This window comes from Homo sapiens, chromosome 2 (assembly GCF_000001405.40).
Source record: "Homo sapiens chromosome 2, GRCh38.p14 Primary Assembly".
NCBI lineage: Eukaryota > Metazoa > Chordata > Mammalia > Primates > Hominidae > Homo > Homo sapiens.
This window is the reverse complement of record NC_000002.12, coordinates 238,236,456-238,257,497: the sequence shown is the minus strand read 5'-3', so window position 1 is coordinate 238,257,497 and position 21,042 is coordinate 238,236,456. Positions and strand designations below refer to the sequence as shown.

The 21,042-nt window shown below is 54.3% G+C and overlaps 2 protein-coding genes across 8 annotated transcripts in view, besides 6 other annotated features; both read left to right on the top strand.

The window, feature by feature from the left end:
- PER2 (period circadian regulator 2) overlaps positions 1-13,454 on the top strand; it is a 56,022-nt gene extending 42,568 nt beyond the window's left edge. For all 5 annotated transcript variants that reach the window (XM_047446232.1, XM_047446231.1, XM_005246111.5 and 2 more), the window contains 7 exons: positions 412-576; positions 1,587-1,841; positions 3,796-4,586; positions 5,737-5,899; positions 6,755-6,947; positions 8,286-8,436; positions 10,974-13,454. In XM_047446232.1, coding sequence (XP_047302188.1) covers positions 412-576; positions 1,587-1,841; positions 3,796-4,586; positions 5,737-5,899; positions 6,755-6,947; positions 8,286-8,436; positions 10,974-11,123 — 1,868 coding nt within the window. In that variant the 3' untranslated portion in view covers positions 11,124-13,454. The remainder of the gene's footprint in view (positions 1-411; positions 577-1,586; positions 1,842-3,795; positions 4,587-5,736; positions 5,900-6,754; positions 6,948-8,285; positions 8,437-10,973) is intronic.
- Positions 8,842-9,342: an enhancer, noted in NCBI's record as "H3K4me1 hESC enhancer chr2:239156797-239157297 (GRCh37/hg19 assembly coordinates)". NCBI's record gives its function as "activates a minimal SCP1, AML or CMV promoter by ChIP-STARR-seq in naive H9 embryonic stem cells {active_cell/tissue: H9 hESC(naive)}" and the evidence as "EXISTENCE:reporter gene assay evidence [ECO:0000049][PMID:30033119]".
- Positions 10,151-11,350: an enhancer, noted in NCBI's record as "BRD4-independent group 4 enhancer chr2:239154789-239155988 (GRCh37/hg19 assembly coordinates)". NCBI's record gives its function as "activates an origin of replication core promoter dependent on BRD2, P300/CBP, MED14 and CDK7 cofactors, and independent of BRD4, by STARR-seq in HCT116 cells {active_cell/tissue: HCT116}" and the evidence as "EXISTENCE:reporter gene assay evidence [ECO:0000049][PMID:35650434]".
- Positions 15,549-16,054: an enhancer, noted in NCBI's record as "H3K4me1 hESC enhancer chr2:239150085-239150590 (GRCh37/hg19 assembly coordinates)". NCBI's record gives its function as "activates a minimal SCP1, AML or CMV promoter by ChIP-STARR-seq in naive and primed H9 embryonic stem cells {active_cell/tissue: H9 hESC(naive and primed)}" and the evidence as "EXISTENCE:reporter gene assay evidence [ECO:0000049][PMID:30033119]".
- Positions 16,055-16,560: an enhancer, noted in NCBI's record as "H3K4me1 hESC enhancer chr2:239149579-239150084 (GRCh37/hg19 assembly coordinates)". NCBI's record gives its function as "activates a minimal SCP1, AML or CMV promoter by ChIP-STARR-seq in primed H9 embryonic stem cells {active_cell/tissue: H9 hESC(primed)}" and the evidence as "EXISTENCE:reporter gene assay evidence [ECO:0000049][PMID:30033119]".
- Positions 17,218-17,737: a silencer, noted in NCBI's record as "silent region_12492". NCBI's record gives its function as "represses an Ori minimal core promoter by ATAC-STARR-seq in GM12878 lymphoblastoid cells {active_cell/tissue: GM12878}" and the evidence as "EXISTENCE:reporter gene assay evidence [ECO:0000049][PMID:35858748]".
- On the top strand, positions 17,460-19,231 carry HES6 (hes family bHLH transcription factor 6). 3 transcript variants are annotated; one of them, NM_001142853.3, is made up of 4 exons: positions 17,460-17,673; positions 17,751-17,837; positions 17,936-18,011; positions 18,247-19,231. In NM_001142853.3, exons 1-4 carry the CDS (start codon positions 17,593-17,595, stop codon positions 18,669-18,671), a joined length of 669 nt encoding a protein of 222 aa, NP_001136325.1. In that variant the 5' UTR covers positions 17,460-17,592; the 3' UTR covers positions 18,672-19,231. The 3 variants fall into 3 exon arrangements, with proteins under 3 accessions (NP_001136325.1, NP_001269363.1, NP_061115.2); NM_001282434.2 differs by having other exon boundaries at positions 17,930-17,971; NM_018645.6 differs by having other exon boundaries at positions 17,930-18,011.
- Positions 18,461-19,029: an enhancer, noted in NCBI's record as "H3K4me1 hESC enhancer chr2:239147110-239147678 (GRCh37/hg19 assembly coordinates)". NCBI's record gives its function as "activates a minimal SCP1, AML or CMV promoter by ChIP-STARR-seq in naive H9 embryonic stem cells {active_cell/tissue: H9 hESC(naive)}" and the evidence as "EXISTENCE:reporter gene assay evidence [ECO:0000049][PMID:30033119]".
- Positions 19,232-21,042: the final 1,811 nt, after the last annotated feature.

Genomic DNA, 21,042 nt, shown 5'->3' with positions numbered 1-21,042 from the left:
CATCTCAAAAAAGAAAAAAGAAAGAAACAGGGTATCCCGGATTATGGTTGGCTCCTGACTGTCGGAAAGCCCCTCCCCACAGGCCTGCAGAAGGGCTGCCTGGCTGCAGGCAAGAGCCCCTCACCAAGTGTGCCCTGCAGCTGCCAAGCTGCTGCGCCTCCCTGCAGAGGCCTCAGGATTTAAGTGTGTAACTGCTCCCATTTCAGAACTTTCTCTTTTCCACTATTCTTCTATGAATAAACATTGGGGACAAATCACCCCATGCCTGGGCCAGAGCATCTGTGGGATGGGATGGGATGGGTTGTGTGCACCCTGGTGTGGAAGCTGTATGGGCACTTGGGTGTCGGTTTCTCATCTGCACAGTGCATTGTAATGACACACTAATGTTTGTTCCCCCTTCCTCTCATGAAGAGGCAGAGCCGCCCTCCAGGGTGAACAGCCGCACGGGAGTAGGTACGCACCTGACCTCGCTGGCACTGCCGGGCAAGGCAGAGAGTGTGGCGTCGCTCACCAGCCAGTGCAGCTACAGCAGCACCATCGTCCATGTGGGAGACAAGAAGCCGCAGCCGGAGTTAGGTATGACTATGGGCTCTTGGATCAGAGAGCAGTTTGATTTTTAACCATGAAAACAAGAAGTTTGCCATCTTAAATTTTTCTAAGTGCAGAAGAACTCCACCATAGCCCGATAGGGGGCGTTTCAGGAAATCCAGTTACGTAAAATGCAGGGTGGAGTGCGGCCAGCCAGGGCCCAGGCAGCAACCTGTCCAGGTCTCTGCTGCCCTGTGGTGCCCTCCAGTGGCAGTTGTCTGTTCTGGCATCAACGCAGGAGGGTTGATTGTGGTGCAAGATCTTATCCCCTTTAATTGGTGCGGAGAGCACTGGGAGCGAGGCCCCACCTCCCTCTTCCCTGGGCAGGCCTGGGGTTCTTTCCTCTGCCCAGCAGAAGGTGCGACCGTTAGCTCTCCCTGTTTGTGGACAGGAGCCAGTACAGGTGGTAAACAGATTTACAATGAGCGCATTGGTGGCTGAGTGTTCTTGTTCTTTAGAATATTATGATTAAAATGAATCCTGAATTTGTTCTTTACTAAGAAGAGGGAAATGATAAGGAAAAAGTGTATGTCCAAGATCCAGTCCCCAAGCCCTCCCTTTCAGGATGGTCAGTGGCCCTGCCTGTCCCTTGTCCTGTCTGCCCCATGGGCCCATAGGGTCCCATCTATCACCATGCCTGGTCCCAAACCCGGAAAGACTCAGCACGTTGATCCAAGTTTCTGGTGTTCTGAAAGCTAAGGACAGCCGAGGGATATCTTCAGCAGCAGAGCTGAAGCCCAAGGTTCCCCACGTTTCCGTTTGTTCAGCCCCAGGTTCCTGAGCACCTGGCTGTCAGGGCTGTCCTGCTCTGCTTCTTGCCTTTTGCCATGAACTTTCTCAGAAAGCTAAATGAAAACGCTGTGAGTCTCATCCTCATGCCACAGGCATCATGAAATTACTTTATACGTGAATGATTTGTCTTGTTCGTGAATATAGTGTGGCCTTAAAATAATAAACAGGGCACGTGTGGACCAGAGCCCTGGGTTCTTGTGTTACAGAGATGGTGGAAGATGCTGCGAGTGGGCCAGAATCCCTGGACTGCCTGGCGGGCCCTGCCCTGGCCTGTGGTCTCAGCCAAGAGAAGGAGCCCTTCAAGAAGCTGGGCCTCACCAAGGAGGTACTCGCTGCACACACACAGAAGGAGGAGCAGAGCTTCCTGCAGAAGTTCAAAGAAATAAGAAAACTCAGCATTTTCCAGTCCCACTGCCATTACTACTTGCAAGAAAGATCCAAGGGGCAGCCAAGTGAACGAAGTAAGTGATACCCGAATTAAAAGTGCGTTTTAAAAAACTTTATTCCTGTTGGTACTGAGTCCAGTGCTGGTTTCAAAATGTGAAATGTGTCCAGTTTCAGAAGCATTAACATATAAGACAGCTGTTGGAACTTCCCTGGCAACGCCATCTGTTTCTGTAGAACTTCCCACCGGGGGGGTGCTCTCGGGATGTCAGCTTGCATTCCCTGGGGAATAGTCCCAGGCTAGTGCCCGAGGTGGGAAGAACCATGGCAGGGCAGTGCTGCCATGTCCACATTTCTTGCCTGAGTAACCATGTGGGCAGGGGCCCCACCTGGACGGGACCTCCAGAGAATCAGCGAATTCAACCTCAAGATAGTGGGCATGTAGTGCTGGGCACATGAGGAAGGAGGGATGTACCATTTCTGGTGCCCTTCTCCCCAGGAGATGCACCCTCCTGACTGGGCCAGCCTCAGGGCTGGGCTTTGGACTCCAGAGTCAGGCAGAGTCCATGGTCATGGTGTGGGAAGCTGCTGTGTAGGCCAGGTGCCACTTGGGGGGTTGAAGGTCAAGGGATGAAGTAAAATAGATGAGCTTCTTCACCCCTTTCCTGGCCCAGAAGTCTGGCTCCTGATCCCCCAGTTCCTTCCCATACCCCCAGACACTTGTTAGAGATGGGGCCTCTTCCCTTCCCCCTGGGACGCTGGCACAGGGATCAGAGCCAGTGAGCCCAGGAAGCCACTCACCACAAGGACCCAGCTCCCCCGGGTCTCTGGGCAGACGCACCAAGGGAAATTTGTAAGAAATTAAGCCCACAGCTTCCTTGAGGATTATGTCTTCTCCACTCTTTCCTTTCTCTCCTTCTTCCCCAGATTCAAGAGTTACTGCCAGCCCATAGAGAACCTCTGTAGAAATTAGAAAAAGGTGTACTCCATGGCCATGAGCAGACCCACCCCATGGGACCAGCCTAGTGCAGAGTTCCCGCTCTTGCTTGCCCCCTAGACAACTCTGTAGCCTTATGCAGTGCACAGACTACAGAGCTGCCTAGGGCAGCCCTGCCAGACCCAGACATGACATCCCAGGAGCCCAGTGCTTTAGCCACTGTTCCCACCAGGGGACAGATTTCTTGTGAGAAGAACACCAGATAGAGAGGCTGAATTGCAAAACCTCCATTTACATAGGAGTTTGCCTTGGACTAGCCCATTTCCCTTCAGCACATCCCAAAGGCATGGGACTGCCTTGGCACAGCTGACAGATGTCCCAGACACCTGCTGCAAGAGCCCCAAGTCACTCCGCGTGATGTGAGAGGAAAACCAAAGTTCCCTGGATCCCCCTCCCACTCCCCAGGGAGGCCATGGGGACATACCCAGAGTCCCTCCTTTACCAATTGAGTCCCTCCATCTTCCTGAAGAATGCCTTACTCAGCAGCACTCGTTATTGCAGAGGAAGAATTTGGTTGCAAGGCAATGCTCCCCTCTGATCTTGCTCAGGCTGTTTGACAGGTGAAAGAGGAAACATCCCTCTTTAAGGAACAGTAGTGACAGTGCTTATAAATTGAAAAATAGAGGAGGTCAGTGGCTCTCCCGTTCAGATTTCACTAACCAATTTTTCCCCCAAATACTGGGGAACAGCAGAGACATGACAGCTTTTTAGTGTATTTATTTAACAAATAGAACTTTGTATTACCACTTATCATATTAGCATTTCATAAAAGAAAGGACATTTAATACCAGAAGAAAATAAGGAATGTGTCCTGCAATTAAGAGCTTGTAATTTAAGTTGATTCAATTTAGTTTTATGGAAAAACCTGATGTTTTGCCCTGATTTTTCTCACTTCACTGAGGATCAGGGAAAACCGCTCGGTGGACCAGGCAGGCCCTGGGCCAGCATTTGGAAACCCAGGACTGTTGAACGAAGAGGTGTCTTCAAATTTGGAGTTAAAATTTTAACTCCGAGTATTTGTTTTTCTGCATTAGCTGCCCCTGGACTAAGAAATACTTCCGGAATAGATTCACCTTGGAAAAAAACAGGAAAGAACAGAAAATTGAAGTCCAAGCGGGTCAAACCTCGAGACTCATCTGAGAGCACCGGATCTGGGGGGCCCGTGTCCGCCCGGCCCCCGCTGGTGGGCTTGAACGCCACAGCCTGGTCACCCTCAGACACGTCCCAGTCCAGCTGCCCAGCCGTGCCCTTTCCCGCCCCAGTGCCAGCAGCTTATTCACTGCCCGTGTTTCCAGCGCCAGGGACTGTGGCAGCACCCCCGGCACCTCCCCACGCCAGCTTCACAGTGCCTGCTGTGCCCGTGGACCTCCAGCACCAGTTTGCAGTCCAGCCCCCACCTTTCCCTGCCCCTTTGGCGCCTGTCATGGCATTCATGCTACCCAGTTATTCCTTCCCCTCGGGGACCCCAAACCTGCCCCAGGCCTTCTTCCCCAGCCAGCCTCAGTTTCCGAGCCACCCCACACTCACATCCGAGATGGCCTCTGCCTCACAGCCTGAGTTCCCCAGCCGGACCTCGATCCCCAGACAGCCATGTGCTTGTCCAGCCACCCGGGCCACCCCACCATCGGCCATGGGTAGGGCCTCCCCACCGCTCTTTCAGTCCCGCAGCAGCTCGCCCCTGCAGCTCAACCTGCTGCAGCTGGAGGAAGCCCCTGAGGGTGGCACTGGAGCCATGGGGACCACAGGGGCCACAGAGACAGCAGCTGTAGGGGCGGACTGCAAACCTGGCACTTCTCGGGACCAGCAGCCGAAGGCGCCTCTGACCGTAAGGATTTTCTGATGCTCTTTCCCCAAAGCAGGCAGCAAACAGCACACCTGGCAGGCCGGCCGCACATCCTCAGTTCAGACATGGGGGTTACACGATTGAGGTTTCCACCAAACCCTGTAGGTTTTGCCATGAATGTGTGTGCCAGAAATTCATGCTTCCCACTTAATCCTATCAGAGTAGATTATTCGAAGCCTTTTATTGTCGTGGAATCTGAATGAAGGAGGAGAGATTGTGATACAGACTCCAGAAAGCAGCATGTGACTTGACAGTATTTGTGGGCTTCGACTTTTTAAATGACGCTTCAGAGATAAAGCACAGTCAGGTTAAATACCAGAGCTAGGGCTCCTCAGGGTGTGGCGCCGGAGCCTGGCTCAGGTGGCCCCGGTGAAGGCGGAGAAGGAGGGGGACACAGCCCTAAAACCAGCGTGACCTCAGTTTCCATCCTCCGCAGGCGTAGGGACACTGTGTGAGATTCTTAACCAGTTAATGAAACGGTAGTTGTATTTGCAGTTAAACGCTTGTGTTTCTGAACGAGCTCAAGTGTGTGGGAACGCCAGCAGCAGTGCAGTCCGTAGGCCTCAGGCGATTCCCTGCCTTGGCCAGAGGACCTAGGGCTCCCGGGTGAGGAAGTGCAAGCATGTAGATCTGTGGAGCTTCTCCCAGTCCTCCTGCCACCTCCGGGCTCCTGCTTCTGGAGTCCTGGGCCTGCAGTCTGGGTTTCCAAGGAGAGGAGGGTCAGGGATGCTCCCCAGGCCAGGCCCCGCCCTCAATCCCAAGGCAGCCCCCACACCGGGTGCTGTGAGAGGCGTTTTCCCCATCCATGTCTGCTGCATGTGAGGAGGGGGCTGTGGCCAAGGAGCAGCCTGAGGCTTTCCCCCCTGGAGCCCAGGTATTGCCGTCTTCCATGTGACTCTCCGAAAATTAAATGTAACTAGACGGCATCCATAGAGCATCAGTGGAATTTGCACCGTAGGCCTGGTGGTGATGCGTGGTCTGCTCGTTAGGCCGTCCCTGGCCGTGAACCTTGCAGCCGCTCCACAGCACCCCTCCACCCTCACCCCACTCATGCCCCCCACCCCCACCCCGCTGCATATGCTGTGTCCTGACTGAGCCCCTGAACAGCAGTATCTGCTTCCTGTCCCTAAAGCGTGATGAACCCTCAGACACACAGAACAGTGACGCCCTTTCCACGTCAAGCGGCCTCCTAAACCTCCTGCTGAATGAGGACCTCTGCTCAGCCTCGGGCTCTGCTGCTTCGGAGTCTCTGGGCTCCGGCTCACTGGGCTGCGACGCCTCCCCGAGTGGGGCAGGTATGTTGGCCCTGGCGGGGTGTTAGGCACTTGGGAGGTTCCTGCAGGATGCACTGCTCCAGAGTCACAGGCCGGCCTCTGTGCTCAGAACAGGGATCACCGGCACTCCCCAAGCAGCTGTCAGAGCCCATGCAGACACCCACACAGACACACTCTCCCTGTTCAGCATGGCTGGCCCTAGCTAGTCAGAATTCCACATCCTCCCTGTTTGCTTCTGATTTCAGTGCCTACAGGCCTCACACCCTGGCTCCTTGTGGGACCAGCCCTCTGACTCCCCAGATAGTGGTTTGCCTTCCTGCTTTAGTTCCACTTGTGTGAACTGAGGGTATGGAGCACCTGCAAGCCTCTACCCGCTGGGATCTTTCACATGTGATCTGGAATCTCAGGCACCAGAAATGTACACACTCTCCACAAAATTGAAGCTCCCCTACTTCTCTGGAGTGAGCTTTCACCTCGCCTCCCTTCGCAGGCGTGCTGCACAGGTGAGGCTGGCTAGGGAGCGCTCCAGGCCAGCTGCCTCCCCTTGTGGGAAACTGCAGTGCCCTGTGGTCCACATGAGTGGAGATGGTGAGAGCTTGGGAGAGAAGGTCAAGGCTTCTAACACGCAGCTCCACCTGAGCTGCTCAGGGCTTCACAGGAAAGAATCGCCTGCATGGCACTAGCAGAGATCCTGTTTCCTAATTACCCAGAGCATTCAAGAAGTGGGAGAGAAGGGGAACATGCACCGGCATAGATACCCAATACCTAAGAAGGCACTGGGCTCTCTCAAATCATTCTGACTTTGAGGAAGCACATTATGCAAGGTTTAATTTCATATGTCAATGTTTTGACGCACCACGTTTTTTGTTTTTAAAGGCAGTAGTGACACAAGTCATACCAGCAAATATTTTGGAAGCATTGACTCCTCAGAGAATAATCACAAAGCAAAAATGAACACTGGTATGGAAGAAAGTGAGCATTTCATTAAGTGCGTCCTGCAGGATCCCATCTGGCTGCTGATGGCAGATGCGGACAGCAGCGTCATGATGACGTACCAGCTGCCTTCCCGGTAACCACCCAGCGTTTTCCTAGGCACCTGGGGAGGGATGGGGTTCAGGAGCTCCCAGAAACAACAAGGTCAAGGTCATTCAGATGGGGCGGGACGCCCCTCTGAAAGACTTAGATTTAGCTGAGTGCAGCAGAGAAGCAGGCTTCCCTCTGGACAATTCTGCCAGGCTAGTACAGGGTGGCCCTGGCCCTGCAGTGTGGCCAGGATAAGCCGGGGCCATGTGGATTCACACCCTACAGCCTTCGAGGAAGACAGGCTCCTGGTGCCTCCTTCACAGTGCCATGCTCAATTTTCACAAAGCATTGGTGCCAGCATCTCTTGCTTTGTTGCCCAGTAACCCTGTGAGGTAAATGGGGTGTATCTGGCTGTCTGACTTAGACTTGAAGGAACCAAGTGTCAAGGTAGGTGACCAGCCCAGGGAGCGGGCTGCTCTGCAGTGACCCGGGGCTCTGTGTCCACATCAGGCTGCCATAGGGAACTGCATGTGGTCCCTTCCCCTGCGGAGCACCCGCTTGGCATGGGAAGCTGGGAGGAAAGAAAGGAAGGAAAAATGAACCCTGTGTAGGTCTGTTTCCACACTGCTGTAAAGAAATACCTGAGATTGGGTAATTTATAAAGGAAAGAGGTTTAGTTAACTCACAGTCCTGCGGGGCCAGGGAAGCCTCAGGAAACTTACAGTCATGGTGGAAGGGAGGAGAAGCAAGCACCTTCTTCACAAGGCAGCAGGAAAAGAGCACAAGCGAAGGAGGAACTGCCAAATACTTATAAACCCATCAGATCGCGTTACAACTCACTATCACCAGGACAGCGTAGGGGAACCGCCCCCATGATCCAGTCCCCCCTCACCAGGTCCTTCCCTCAACACATGGGTATTACAGTTCCAGATAAGATTTTTGTGGGGACACAGAGCCAAACCATATCAAACCCCTAAGTCCTCTGGTCAGCTAGTGGATATGGGGGCTCCATCTCCAGGGCAGCTGTAGTCCAGCCCAGCACAGGCCAGTGGCAGGGGAATGCCGTCCTGCTGGCAAGAATCTCCCAGATGAACCATGCCTGTGTGGACCTGAGCCCCAGGGGACAAGGTTACACCTGCAGATACGCAGCTCCCAGGCCTATTGTAAAATACAGAAAAATTAAATCTTGACCAGAATCATCATTTTCATAGAAAAACTACGGGTTCTTTACTAGGGAGATTAAGTTACCTTAAATGAAAATTTTTTTAAAGAAAAGGAAATTTGCATTAAACAAAATCATCTAAAACTACATTATTCTGAAAGAATAAAAATAGATACCCTTAAGACATTTGAAAGCTTACCGATTTCTAAATATCTTGCGAAGAAATTTAGAAGCGGTTTTGAAGGAGGACAGAGAGAAGCTGAAGCTCCTACAGAAACTCCAGCCCAGGTTCACGGAGAGTCAGAAGCAGGAGCTGCGCGAGGTCCACCAGTGGATGCAGACGGGCGGCCTGCCCGCAGCCATCGACGTGGCAGTAAGCTCACGGGACTCGATTTCTGATATGGCCCTAAAAGGCTCTGTGATGGGGATTCTCTGTACTGTCTTTGCAACTTTTCTGTCAATTTAAAACTTCTAAAATTAGGCCGGGCGCGGTGGCTCACGCCTGTAATCCCAGCACTTTGGGAGGCCGAAGCGGGTGGATCACGAGGTCAGGAGATCGAGACCATCCTGGCAAACACGGTGAAACCCCGTCTCTACTAAAAATACAAAAAATTAGCTGGGCGTGGTGGCGGGCGCCTGTAGTCCCAGCTCCTCAGGAGGCTGAGGCAGGAGAATGGCGGGAACCCCGGAGGCAGAGCTTGCAGGGAGCCAAGATGGCACCACTGCACTCCAGCCTGAGCGACAGAGCAAGACTCTGTCTCAAAAAAAAAAAAAAAAATTTCTAAAATTAAAGGTTTATGTTTTTAAAGGCACAGCACTAGGTCCACTTCAAAGAACTTTTCTCCAGTGGCTTTTCAATGTTGTTTCCAAAAAGGCTGAAAAATCTAATCTCAGTCACTTGCTGAAATCTGTTTTTTCTTTCTTTCAATTCTGTTTTCTATTTTACAAAAAAAAACCCTCTCCTGTCACAAACCCTCAGTGTCCCTGGAGAACATTAAATAATGGTGGAAAAAACAAGTTCCTGCTGGCGTGCTCTCAGGCACATGTCCTTCCAGCGGCCCTGTGGGCACTCCAGCCCCTCTCTCCTGCTCTCTGCCGACCCCTCCCTCCCACATACCGTGGAAGCTGCTCTTGTCAAGGTCTCAAGTTCTCCAGCAGCCGAACACAGTGTCACTTCTCAGTCCTCGTCCCAGGGACCATTGGCAGCAGTGAGCGGCTCTCTCCAGGGAGCTCTTGCTGCCCTTGGTCTCCAGGCCCTGTGCTCTTCAGGCTGTCCCTCTGACCTCTTGGCCTCCCCACAGGCTCTTCCTCTTCTGCCCACCCTCGGGCTCAGTGTCTGCACCTCTTTTCCCCACCTGCACCCTGCAAGCCCTGGAGGCATCCTGGGCTCTACTTATCAGGCCCCAGCTGGTGGGTTGGCAGATTGTCTGGGTTTAACCTTGAAGGTAGATGAAGCCCATCACCACACAGGTCCAAGCCATGAGGATGCTTCCATGGCATGAACCCTGGATGTCAGAGTGGCCTCGAAGCTGCACTCACTGCTCCCTGTGTCACCTCCGGTGACAGTTCAGATTCCTGCCAGCACTGTGCCACCTCAATCAGAATAAATGGTTGCAAAGCCATACACATCTGACCACCTATCCACATCTTCTACCTCATCTCCCATTTTTCCTCTCCTTCCCTCCTCTCCAGCTACACTGGCCCCTTGGCTGTTTCCCCGACTGCCCTGGCAGGCCCCTGCCACAGGATCTTCGCACATGCCCAGCCCTTTGCTTGGAATCCTTTTTCCTGAAATAGACCCGTGGCTCACCCTGGCTGCCTTAGAGTCTGTTTTCCACCCGCTGCTGCATTAGTAATCTGCTGCTGCATGGCAGATGGCCCCAACGCTTAGTGACTTCAACAATGAACTTGTATTACCTTGCACGGTCTCTTTGGGTCAGGAATTTGAGAGCGGCTTAGCTGGGTACTTCTAGCTCAGGGTCGTTCCTGATGTTGACGGTAAGATACTGGTGGGGGCTTCTGTCACCTGCCAGCTGGAGGACCGGCTTCCAGGAGCCTCACTTGCAGGCCTCTCACACACTGCTGGCTCTTGGCAGAGGCCTCAGCTCCTTGCCATGGGGACCTCTCCGTAGGGCTGCCTGGATGTCCTCACAGTGTAGCAGGTGACTTCCCCAGAGAGGAAAAGAGGAAGCCAAGGTGCCTTTTAGGACCTAGAATCAGAAGTCAGGTACTCTTTGTTAGAGGCAAATGCCTAAGTCCAGCCAAGGTTTAAGGAGAAAGGAATTAGGCCCCACCTTTTGAGGAAGGAGTGGCAAAGAGTGTGGACACGTTTCAAAATCATTGCGTCACCTTTTCTTTGGCCTGCTGTGAATGTCCAGTTGAAAATCACAGATGTCCTCTATATACCCTATGCCTCTGGAGCCCTTCTTAGTTATTGTCTCTCTCTGCTACTAGAGTGCCAGCTCCTGGGACAGGGATTTTGGCCTTTGCTGCCAGCCACCTCCTGGCTGACACCTGGTCACCTGCACCTTACTCAGTTTGAATGACTTTTTATCTTTTGAGACAGAGTCTCACTCTGTCGCCCAGGCTGGAGCACAGTAGCGTGATCTCCGCTCACTGCAAGCTCTGCCTCCAGGGTTCAAGCGATTCTTCTGCCTCAGCCTCCCAAGTAGCTGGGACTACAGGTGCCTGCCACCACGCCCAGCTAATTTTTTGTATTATTAGTAGAGATGGGATTTCACCGTGTTAGCCAGGAAGGTCTCGATCTCCTGACGTCGTGATCTGCCCGCCTCGGCCTCCCAAAGTGCTGGGATTACAGGCGTGAGCCACCGCGCCCGGCCAATTTGAATGACTTTTGTAACAACTCAGATCTCAAGTTTGTTACTGATTTCTCTTTTTTTTTCTTTTAAGGAATGTGTTTACTGTGAAAACAAGGAAAAAGGTAATATTTGCATACCATATGAGGAAGATATTCCTTCTCTGGGACTCAGCGAAGTGTCGGACACCAAAGAAGACGAAAATGGATCCCCCTTGAATCACAGGATCGAAGAGCAGACGTAACCCCTGCCCCACCTCAGCCCGGCAGCCAGCGAGGTACACCAGGTGGTGCTTGGAAGAGATGAAAGATCTTCATGGCTGTTTCCACTGAAATGGACACATATGCTCATGTTGCTTTTTTTGTTTTAGAAAAAAAAACAACATAGTTTTCTGAAGGGGCGACTTAAAACTGTGGAGAGTGGGGAGAGTTCGGAAAGAAATATGTTTTTATATATAAAATATATATGTGGAGTTTTGTGGGATGGGGAAGAGATTTTAGTTGTTATTTAACTTGAGAAAGACTAAGCGCCTCTTAGTGTCAGGGAAGTTGCCTCAGTGCTCCCAGAAGTCCTGTGACTGTGACGAGACCTCTGTCTGCTGCACCAGCTGGGGACTCTGGCTTCCAGAGCTTTCCCAGGGTGTTTGGATCAGATCAAATTTTGTCCTCTCTTGGGGACTGCTTTTTATCTGAATTATCATTTAGTCAAGGTAGAGTGTTTTTTTATACATACCAAATGGAGATAGCAGCCTCTCCTAGTTTTATTTCAAAACGTTTCACATTAAATGGTGTGAAGCGTTGTTTGGCAAACCAACAGCTTTGGCTTCTGGTGTGGTCAATATTTCAGTCTGACATAGGTTTTGTTTGTAGTGAACAAAGTTGAAACATTTGCTCTGGACTAAAGAAGCCTAGTGGTTTGTGTGGCCAACTCCATCGGATGAATGCACACGCAGACAGACCCTCTGTATATTTCTGCATTATTCTTGTCTCCTTTTCAGACCATGATGGCCAATATGGAGATTAAAATATGTCATCAGTCATCTCTTTATGGTGACTTCCCTTTGCAAACCAGGCTGTGACCAACACATGTGAGACCCAGTCCTGTTTGGTTTTCTTCCGTTGGAACCACCCAGACATCTGCTTCCACCCAGCCAAGCCCACATCACATCTCCTGGCCGAGAGCAGCCACTGCCACTCAGTCTGACAGCTTGCGACTGCATCTGTATTTTCAGGGGTGCAGTGAGCTCACCTCTCCCACTGCACCCTGGGTTGGGTGCACAGCCCTCATTCTTTTCATGAGCCCGACCTCTCTCGGAGCAGCTTCAGGCCTCTGCCAGTGTCCCCAGCACTTTTAGGTCATTTGGACACTTGGGGAAAAGTGAGGCCAGTCTGCCCGGCTTTTTACAAAACCTCATGTTGCATTGTATATTCCAAAGATGGTTCAGAAAATTTAATATTGGTCCCTGGTGGAAATTCAAAGTTATCACTGAAGAACAGTTGACTTAAAATTGGACCAAGACTATGAGGCTTAAAAGGGACCAGGGTTTTCTTTTTTTTTTTTTTTTTTTTTTTTTTTTAGATGGAGTTTCTTTTTGCCCAGGCTGGAGTGCAGTGGCGCCATCTTGGCTCACTGCAACCTCTGCCTCCCAGGTTCAAGCGATTCTCCTGCCTCAGCCTCCTGAGTAGCTGGGACCACAGGCGACTGCCACCACACCCAGCTAATTTTTTGTATTTTTAGTAGAGACAGGGTTTCACCATGTTGGCCAGGCTGGTCTCGAACTCCTGACCTCAAGCGATCCACCCACCTCGGCCTCCCAAAGTGCTGGGATTACAGGCGTGAGCCACCACGCCCAACTGGGACCAGGGTTTTCTGTTTTTTGATGGAGGTGAAATCTCTTTGTAATCCACTAGGTTTTCATCGTAAAACCATCTTATGCCTGACTATTAAACCTATTCTTCATAAACACAAGAACACTTTAATTTTTCGTTAATTTACAAAGTAACATCAGCTGCCTATGCCTATGATAAGGTAGCAGTCTGCATTCTTATGGCCATTAGATGTTACAAACTCCTTGCCTCTAAAGTCAGATCATGAAGGGATAGGTGTTCATCTAAGGTTACAGTTATGTTACCGAAACACAAAACTGCCAAAATCTTACTCTGCTGTTATGAATGTTTACCATCAGCATTATTTTATCATTTAATATGTGCTCACTGATTGTTAACTGTAGCTTCAGCGCGTGCCAAGCAGTTGACTTAATAGGATCATCTTGTGAATTTGTTTACGTGATGCCAAGCATCAAGTCATGTTTTCTTTAGTGTGTGTGCTTACACAGGTGTTAAACAGTTTTTCTCTATTTTAAACTGAGCCTTCTTTTTAATATATTCCCGAAGAGATATGTAAATAAGCTCTCAGAGTTTCTGTGATGATTTGTTGAGCCTTGCTGGACAAGTGGTTTGTTTGTGTGCAAACCAAACTTTCTTTACCCAGTGCAATAGATTTGTTTGACTGCTTGTGTCTTTTTATGACCTGTTTGCCTTTTAGAAAATTGGTAAATAAAGCAAGTATATTTTTATTTTTACTTGTATGTATTTTTCACATAGCACAAAGGAAAACCTGAATAGAGAGCAAAGATTATTTAAAAAAAATTTTTTTAAAGAACTCCAGGAATTCTGCATTAAAGAATCTTACATCCCAAAGGCCTCCTGGCGGTCAGCTCCCTTATAGCGTTTGCTTCTTGCTGGCTCCCTTTCTTCCTGTGCGTGTCACACACACACCCTCCTTCAGGCTGCAGGAGTGAACTCACGTAATGCAAACCTAATCGTGTCATGCCCCACAGTCTTTTCACTTTTAGTTGGAGGGGTGCAGCTGTCTGGCTCAGCCCCAGAGTGCCCCCAGCTCTGCCTCCACGCACCTCTGTCTTCCCTGCATCCCTGCCCTGGGTTACCTGGCCTTTCCAGGCTGGCTGCCTGTCTTCTGGTCATCGGGCTAGGTAGGGCTAAAGGTGGGGCGGTCAGGAGGCTCCACCAGGAAGGTCACATGTCTCCATTGCGAATGATATGGGCAGGGCGGCATAGTCCCCTGACCCCAGCCCTTCTTTCACAGTGATGAATGAAGCCTTGTGAGGCCAAAACTGTGGAAGCCCGAAGAGTTGCTCCCCATCCCTCCCACTCTTCAAACCATGACCCTGGGGGTGGGAGCAGAGAGCTGAATGGATCCTGAACCCAATGCCCAGCCTCTGAGAAGCTCCCTGAGCAGAAGGGAGGGGCTCTCCTCTGCCTGCTAGCCTGGCTGCCTAACGCCAAGTGCTGATGGGATAAAAGGCAAAGTCCTCCCTAGCGAGCACAGAGGCCTCTGCAAACTGCTCTAAATGGCCAGATATGGTTGTTTCACTGAACCTGAGTGCTTTTGGAAGACTCTTAATTGTATTTTTATTTACCATATAACCCCAAGGGATTTATTTCCAAACCAAACGGAGATTCTCTGAGTCTCCTGGGCAGATTGCCCACAAGGGGCCTGGACAGTCTACAGGCCGCAGCTGCCTTTGTTCCCCCAGGGATTTATGGCCTGCCACCCCCACTGCTAACTGGTATCCCCGCAGCAACCACCACCCTGCCCAGCCTCTGCTGGCCTCTGTTCCTGGCTCTAGGGGGATCAAAGGACTCAAATGCTCAGGAAGTCCATACTCAGGCAAACTTTGAAGGCAGGACTGGCCCAAGGGACAAATGGCAGGAAGTGTTGGCTAGGGGAGGCTGCTGTGAAGGAGGGAGGGAGGGCTTGGTGACCTCAAGATAGGCCAGGCTTCTGGGACAAAAAGGCCATGCCAGCTGGCCAGTGCACCGCTAAAGGGAATTGAAGCTGACCTTGCAGAGGGGACCTTGGGCAACTTCCAGTCCAACCAAGAAGGATTTTGCTGATGTACAGCCTTCTCTACTTAAGCTCTTTTCCCTGTAGGATCCTTGGTCACACCGAGGCATATCCCAGTGCTTAATTTCTCCCTCCCTCAACTCTAGACAGCATTCCTCAACCCTCCACCCACTCCACTGTCAGACAAGGCTTTTGAGGTCCCTAGTCCTCCCTTTAGCCTCCTCTCTCATAACTCCTATCACCTGTCCTTTTGTTTTTACAAGGTCAACTTTATATCATGTCCCATAACCATAAACAATCCTTCCTTGCCTTCTGTATAGATTAATTCTAAATGTTAAAACCCTATGAACACTGTTACATTGTTGTGACTGTGAAAATTGTCTCCTGAGCCAAGTAATGTGCTAAGATTACATTTCTTGGGAAGCTTTTTGTTTTTCCTAGAGTTCCTAGTTGCTTTTCTTTCTTTTTTTTTGCTTGCACCATTTGCCTTTATCATGTCCTCCTTGCCCCTCAAATCCAGTTCCCCATCCAATCAAGTGTTCAGTCAGGCTTTACCCAAAGTCCTCTTTTGGGGCCCTGATCATCCTGTTGCAATATAAATTGCCTAACATAAAGCAGATGTTTTAGGATGAGAGCATCCTAAAACATCTACTTGGCCTTGTTCGTTTGGATAATGAGAGGAGTGTAAATCAGTTTGCAAACTTGGGAGTACAGGAAATATCAGTGAGTTTATTTTTCCCTATCACAGTTTCTCGAAGTAGTGGAAATGTCATTGTAGCCACTTGGGGGAGTGGAGGTTCTCCTTCCCTGGGGTGATGTCTAAGTGGTGAAGGAGAGTAAAGTCACAGGCTAATAATCCACTTCCTTGGGATCCACCACTCCAGCCCCACCCTGCCAGCCCCACTACTGGGCAGGTGGGGAGTGTGTGAAGTAAAGCGGTAGTTTCACACCCAGGTGAGTGATGCTGGGCTGGGGGAAGTCTCAGGACCCTGCTCATAGAGCAACCAAGAGCCAGAGCAGGGACAGTTGGGAGCCAGCGGGAGGGGGTCCCAGGTAATTACAGAGGTCAGTGAGGTGACTTTGGGAGCTTTCAAACCTCTCACCAAACTCACCCAGCAGGAAGCCTGCAGGGGTCCCTCTGGTGGAGAGGCGCAAGTAAAGGGGCCATGGGAGGCCTGTCAGACCTCTCTAGGGGCAGTGGGGCGGTCGGTCTGCAGCCTAGTCCTGCCGCTCCGCTCAGCTGCTGCGGTCCCGTGATGTTCCCCTCCCACGCGGCCTTCCAGCCCATCCTGCCAGGGCCACCCCTCACCTTCCCTACCTACCAGCGCTTCTGTGAGGCCAGGCTCTGCTGGGGGTGCGGGGAGGTGGACAGGGGGTCCTAGGTCAGACTGTGCCCTTGTCCAGGGACGCTTATAGCCTGGAGGGGCTCAGAACAGACCCTGACGATCCCAGCCCGGGTGAGTAGTGGGGACTGAGGAAGGCAGGTGCTGTGCGGGGCAGGCTGGTAGTCGGCCGGCTGGGGTCCGAGAAGGCGTCTCCCGTTCCGGCTCCTCCACACAGCGTCTGGACTGACGCCGGGGCAGGAGCCGGGCAGGGGTCCCCAGGACGCTGCCCGAGGGCGCGGCCCCACCGCCCACGCACCCCGCCCGCGGCCAAGAGGAACCCAGCAGATGGGCGGCCCGCCGCGATGGGGGAGTCGCGGGCGTCTGGCCGGGACAAGCGCCCGCCGCCTGCCCGCCGGACAAAGGGTGCGAGACAAAGGCGCGGCCAACACCTGTCGCTCTTGGCGCGGCCGCCGCTTTTCTCGCTTTTCTCCGCCGAAGCGGCCGCAGCTGCCAACTGTCACGGGCATCAAGTTACAGGACCAGACGGCAGCTTCGGCGGGCCTGGGAGGCGGGGCGCGGAGGACGAGGAGGGGAGGAGGGAGGCGGGCGGGGGGCAGTGGAAGGGAGGGAGGGGGCCCCGGGGGCCAAAGGGGACTAGAGGGAGATGGGGGAGCTCAGAGGGGGGCGGGGCTGGTGACCCGCAGAGCCCAGGGGGAGAGCGGCGCGGGCGGGAGCACCCGGGACCCCGCCCCACTAGGACTCCAGTGCTGGCGGAGGGCGGCGTCGGGGGTCCGGCCCGGCGTCTGGACGAGTCCGGAAGAAACTCAGGGGCCGCCCCGCCACCGCTGCCCAATGGACCCTGCCTCCCCGGGGCTTGGCAGCCACCCCAGCCGGGACCTGAAACCCCTCTAGGTCCAGAGACCGCGGACTTGACTGTGGCTCTGCACACCAGGGACGCATCTCCTGGGGCCAGTGGCCCCAGCGCTCAACTCTGGAGGCGCCATCGGCGAAGGAGGGAAATGAATGAATTAATGGGTGAATGAATGAGTGGACGGACGGACGGACGGACGGGTGGACGCCTGCTCGCACGCGCGGCAGATCAGTGGTCCTAGAGCAGCAGACGGAGAGAAACAAGCGCGGGCAGGGCCGCAGCTACCCGGGGTCGCCGCCCCGGTGCCGCCCCCGCGGGGGTCTAGGGAAGGCCGGGCTGGGGGCCCCGCCTAGCTCAGCCAGCTGCCCGACCGCCAGAGCCGCTGGGCCGGACAAAGCGCGCTGCCCCGATTGGCTGCAGCGCGCCTCGCGGTCGGCCGCCCCGGGCCCGCGCGGCCAATCGGCGCATTGAGATGCAAATAAGCGGCTATAAAAGGGGCGGGACCGCGGCGGGCCGGAAGCCGCGAGGAGCGCGGACGGCTGGGCTGCTGCTGGGCGGCCGCGGGGCAGCGGAGGGCGCCGGCACTCCGGTCCCCGCCGCTCCCCGTCCCCGCTGCTCCTAGCCCCTGCCGCGTCCCCGGCGGAGCGGGCATGGCGCCACCCGCGGCGCCTGGCCGGGACCGTGTGGGCCGTGAGGATGAGGACGGCTGGGAGACGCGAGGGGACCGCAAGGTGCGGGCCGGGGCCATGGGCGAGCAAGCGGGCGGGAGGCCGTGCGGGGCTGGGATTCAGTGCCCCGCTCCCCGCAGGCCCGGAAGCCCCTGGTGGAGAAGAAGCGGCGCGCGCGGATCAACGAGAGCCTGCAGGAGCTGCGGCTGCTGCTGGCGGGCGCCGAGGTGCGGCGGCCGGGCAGGCGCCGTGGGGCTGCGGGGCGGGCGGGCGGGTCCGGGAGCGCGCTGCCGGCTCACCGCCCTTCCCGCCCGCGCAGGTGCAGGCCAAGCTGGAGAACGCCGAAGTGCTGGAGCTGACGGTGCGGCGGGTCCAGGGTGTGCTGCGGGGCCGGGCGCGCGGTGAGTGGCGGCGGGGCGGGCGGGGGCGCCGGCCGCGGGCGCCTGTAACCCCTGCCAGACGGAGGACTTCCCTCCCGGCGCCCCTGTCCTGTCGGCGGCGAGGGCTCCCACCGGAGCAGGGTGCGCCCCCGCGTCTCCTGGGTGAGCCGCGTCCCCGCGGGCCGGGTGGGCTGGGCCACGCAGTCGCCGCTCACCGCGCGGGACGCGGCTCTCTCCCTCCCACCCTCGGGCCCAGAGCGCGAGCAGCTGCAGGCGGAAGCGAGCGAGCGCTTCGCTGCCGGCTACATCCAGTGCATGCACGAGGTGCACACGTTCGTGTCCACGTGCCAGGCCATCGACGCTACCGTCGCTGCCGAGCTCCTGAACCATCTGCTCGAGTCCATGCCGCTGCGTGAGGGCAGCAGCTTCCAGGATCTGCTGGGGGACGCCCTGGCGGGGCCACCTAGAGCCCCTGGACGGAGTGGCTGGCCTGCGGGGGGCGCTCCGGGATCCCCAATACCCAGCCCCCCGGGTCCTGGGGACGACCTGTGCTCCGACCTGGAGGAGGCCCCTGAGGCTGAACTGAGTCAGGCTCCTGCTGAGGGGCCCGACTTGGTGCCCGCAGCCCTGGGCAGCCTGACCACAGCCCAAATTGCCCGGAGTGTCTGGAGGCCTTGGTGACCAATGCCAGCCAGAGTCCTGCGGGGGTGGGCCCGGCCCTCCCTGGATCTCCTCCCTCCTCCCAGGGGTTCAGATGTGGTGGGGTAGGGCCCTGGAAGTCTCCCAGGTCTTCCCTCCCTCCTCTGATGGATGGCTTGCAGGGCAGCCCCTGGTAACCAGCCCAGTCAGGCCCCAGCCCCGTTTCTTAAGAAACTTTTAGGGACCCTGCAGCTCTGGAGTGGGTGGAGGGAGGGAGCTACGGGCAGGAGGAAGAATTTTGTAGAGCTGCCAGCGCTCTCCCAGGTTCACCCACCCAGGCTTCACCAGCCCTGTGCGGGCTCTGGGGGCAGAGGTGGCAGAAATGGTGCTGGGCACTAGTGTTCCAGGCAGCCCTGGGCTAAACAAAAGCTTGAACTTGCCACTTCAGCGGGGAGATGAGAGGCAGGTGCACTGAGCTGCACTGCCCAGAGCTGTGATGCTCTGTACATCTTGTTTGTAGCACACTTGAGTTTGTGTATTCCATTGACATCAAATGTGACAATTTTACTAAATAAAGAATTTTGGAGTTAGTTACCCTTGAAGTATTGTTGAGTGATGTGTCATTACTGTGTCAAGATATGTAAATGCTAAACTAAGCACATTTCCCCTGCATCTGAGGCTGGTGAATGTCCTTTAAAACCTCACCCTTTCTCAGCAGAGTGAGCAGTGTGATGGTGGTGGGGATGCACTCCGTGGCTGTCTCTGCAGCAGGCAGTGCTTCTGCCCCCCATGCTAGGCAGGTCCTCAGACCCAGCCTGTTCTTGGGCATTGTGTGTCCTGGAGAAGGAGTTTGTTTGCATGAGGCTTGTCTCCAGGGTAACTCAGCAATAGGGAGATGACCTGTCTCTGTGCCATTTTCTTGTTCATGAGCTTCAGGAATAATAAAATAATGCCTAATTGCTACCTATTTGGTTTGAAAGTATCTTTTAAAGACCTGTTTTAGGACCCACGAGCATGACATAGACATGAGTCTACTTGTGTGAGGTTGTTGCTTATCTTGACTGAAGAAGGAACTTCCCCACTGCTGCCATTGACTTCAGGGTCAAGGAGACCCACCCAGTTTGTGGCCTGAAATGAAAGCGCCAAGGCCCCAGGGGGCTTGAGCGTTAGGTCAAACTGGGTCCAGGAGGTCAGAACCCTCAGGGATGGAGGGTGGCAGGATGGGCAGCTGGGGTGCGGGAGCCTGCCCTCTTGGGCTCGGCCAGACCTGCAGATAGCACGTGGTCAGCCGGCTGAAGTCACCGCCACAGTTAGCCTAGCCCCCTCCTCCTGCTCCAGGACCCCAAAGCAGCAGCTTCTCACTGTGGGTTGGCAGTCCCCAGGCTAGGGCCAAGGTGTGACAACTTAGGATTGACGTCGGGGTCTCCTCTCTGGACATGTGCTTTTGCCTTAAGAACACCTTTCCCAGCAGCCCCTTTACAAAAGCCCCCAAGCAGGTCCTGGCCACCAGGGGTGTTTCAAAGTTTGAGGTTCACTCTGGCTCACCTCAATTCAATCATAGAAGCCATTGGGCTATAACCAGATGCAGCTTTATCATCTGGAGCCGAGCTATTGGGGCAGTGGGGGAGCCAGTGCCACAGAAGAAGTCTTGAGCAATGGAAATATCATTCCTGGGATTATTTTAATGTCCTCAGACAGGCTGATGTAGGATGTACCCACCAGGACACGGATGGATAACGGGCCATCCTGAAAGCCCTGGTTTCCAGTAGCACCCAGAGGCCATGCCAATGAGCTCTCATGCCATTCAGGGAGCATCAGCCATGGACTGCTTCAAAGGAACAACTTTCACCTCTCAAGTCCACTCATCACACCTTCCCAGATGCCCTAGGAGGGGGTCAAGGGGAAGCCCAGGAGGCAAGGTGCAGGAGGCTGACCTGGAGTAAAAGCGTTGCTAGGACCAGAGTCAGAAGCCACTAACCCAGAACTCTGGCCCTGTGCCCCTCCAGCCCTAAAGTCAGCTTCACAGTAATCCTCAAGTGCAGCTTCTTTTGGAAATGTAACTGGCTCCCACACCAGTGACCACTGTTGGCCTCCTGGGGCTGAGAGCTGCTCTTGCCTGCGGTGCAGCCTGGGGCCACCAGCTTCCCAGCCAGCTGGTTGTTTCACACCAGCTCCTCTCCCAGCACCCCCAGGCTCCCCACAAGCCCTTCTCTGAGGGCTGTCTCCTTCCCACCCGGATCCCTTCTCTAAGGGCTGTCTCCTTCCCACCCGGATCCCTTCTCTGAGGGCTGTCTCCTTCCCACCCGGATCCCTGACCCACTGTATTACTTTTCTATGGCTGCCAAAACCAACGACCACACTCTTGGTGGCTTCAAACACACGATTATTGTCTTGCAGTTCCACGGGTTAGAAG